The sequence below is a fragment of the Homo sapiens genome, chromosome 4 (assembly GCF_000001405.40).
Source record: "Homo sapiens chromosome 4, GRCh38.p14 Primary Assembly".
In the NCBI taxonomy this organism is placed as follows: Eukaryota; Metazoa; Chordata; class Mammalia; order Primates; family Hominidae; genus Homo; species Homo sapiens.
In genome coordinates, this window is record NC_000004.12 from 162,226,690 (window position 1) to 162,228,457 (window position 1,768).

General features: G+C 34.4%; 1 annotated feature.

Annotated features, from left to right (window-relative positions):
* Positions 1,371-1,540: an enhancer, noted in NCBI's record as "experimental_75628 CRE fragment used in MPRA reporter constructs". NCBI's record gives its function as "activates a minimal promoter by MPRAs in K562 erythroleukemia cells, with activity observed for both the introgressed and non-introgressed 4:163149297 variant alleles {active_cell/tissue: K562}" and the evidence as "EXISTENCE:reporter gene assay evidence [ECO:0000049][PMID:34662402]".

Consider the following 1,768-nt stretch of genomic DNA (forward strand, 5'->3'; position numbering starts at 1 on the left):
CACCACCACGCCTGGCTAAATTTTTGTATTTTTAGTAGAGACAGGTTTTCACTATGTTAGCCAAGATGGTCTCGATCTCCTGACCTCGTGTTTGTGTTTACATGTCTGATACCTCTGCCTTATTATTGCTTTGGACGTAAGAAACAAACTAATCTCTATTCCCCATCTCTACTTTCTATTGCTGACAACAGTTACACTTTGTCCCAACAATTGAAACCCTTCTAGCTATTTTAAACAGAAAAGCAGATGCTGCAACAATTTTATAAAGTATTGGAAAGGCTAGATAAGTGAGAATCACATGGCCACTGCTAAATCTATTGATCTAAGGATAAGAAAACCAGGATCAGGAAGCTGCAACTGAATCTATGATATTGCCTTACACATCCATGAGGCTGTTGACTGAAATAGAGAGACACCTAGGTCCTCACAAGCTTGGCTTTTCTTGCTAAATAAAGAAAAAAAAAACACTAGTAAGCTGACGTTGGCTTCTCTTTTATCTTGTAAACCTTTTAAGTTCCTATAATCGATAAAACTTAATTTGCATCTAGAACATCTACCAAGAGATTCTTGGAAATATAGTTTTCAGCTTTGCCATTACTGCAAAATAGCAAGACACGCAGGAGGCATAAATGGATGTTAAGAACTAAGCAACCCTATCTAACATGATCAAAATGTCTCCATTTTAATTTAATGGAAAATGCTTTCCCTTTCACAAATCCTGTTGGAGGAAGTCTAACAGAAAAATGTCAGTATTTTTCTCCATTTTAGAGGGAAAAAACATACTCAGAATGATTTCTTTATTTTGTTAATCACTAATAAAGACATTGGCAACAATCTTGCCTTGGGTTCGCACTGGACTTTGGTCTAATTGTCAGGTACATTCTAGCTATATCCCAGTTGCAATATCATTGACTATGTACTCCTTTCAGGTCAGGAGCTTGTAATTAATCTTATGTTTTGATGTATACACAGCACTGTAGCACTGTTAAAATCTTCATGCAAGCAACCAATGACTGAGAGTCTAAATATAATTGAGACAATTCAATCTTTTTTACTTTTATTGTATGCCTCTCTTATTTATGTAGACTTGATTTTTTCTGGTAATCTAATGGACATTTTTTTGTCAGCTCTAAGGAGAGGATCTATGTGATTCATTGCCTTACTTTACTGTTTTTCTATCAAATCCAGTTTGCTGGTTTTGTAGCAATTGTTTGCATGGTTCTGTGAATTGATAGCTAAAGGTATGGAAAGACAGAGCACTTCACCTGGAGGACAGATTGGTTCAACATGCCTGATTATGATAGACAACTCCCAAGAGCTTACAGTGTTAACTAGCCTCTTGATATATTTATATATTCAGAAAATATTTCTACATTTCAGTTTTTCAATAATTAGTTTTGACCCAGGTAGGAACTTCATAAACAGAAAGGATTCACTCTTGGGATCATGGTTCTCATCAATGGACAGTGGCATAGGTCTAGCTCAAATTCCCCATATTGTAATCTACCAAAATCTTGAATCACAAATCTGTGCTTTTCACCTTCTTCATCAATTATGAGAAGGAAACTGGGATGAGAAGACAACTGTTAATTTACTTCACTAATTTATAAATTTCTGCATACTTGTTGTTTAATCATATATCATTAGCATATTTACCATATATGTTATATAACAATATTAGAAAGGGAATAAATACAAAAATAATATTACTTCTCTAACTTGCACTATACAGGATTATGCAAAGAATATTATTTGGACCACTTCATTT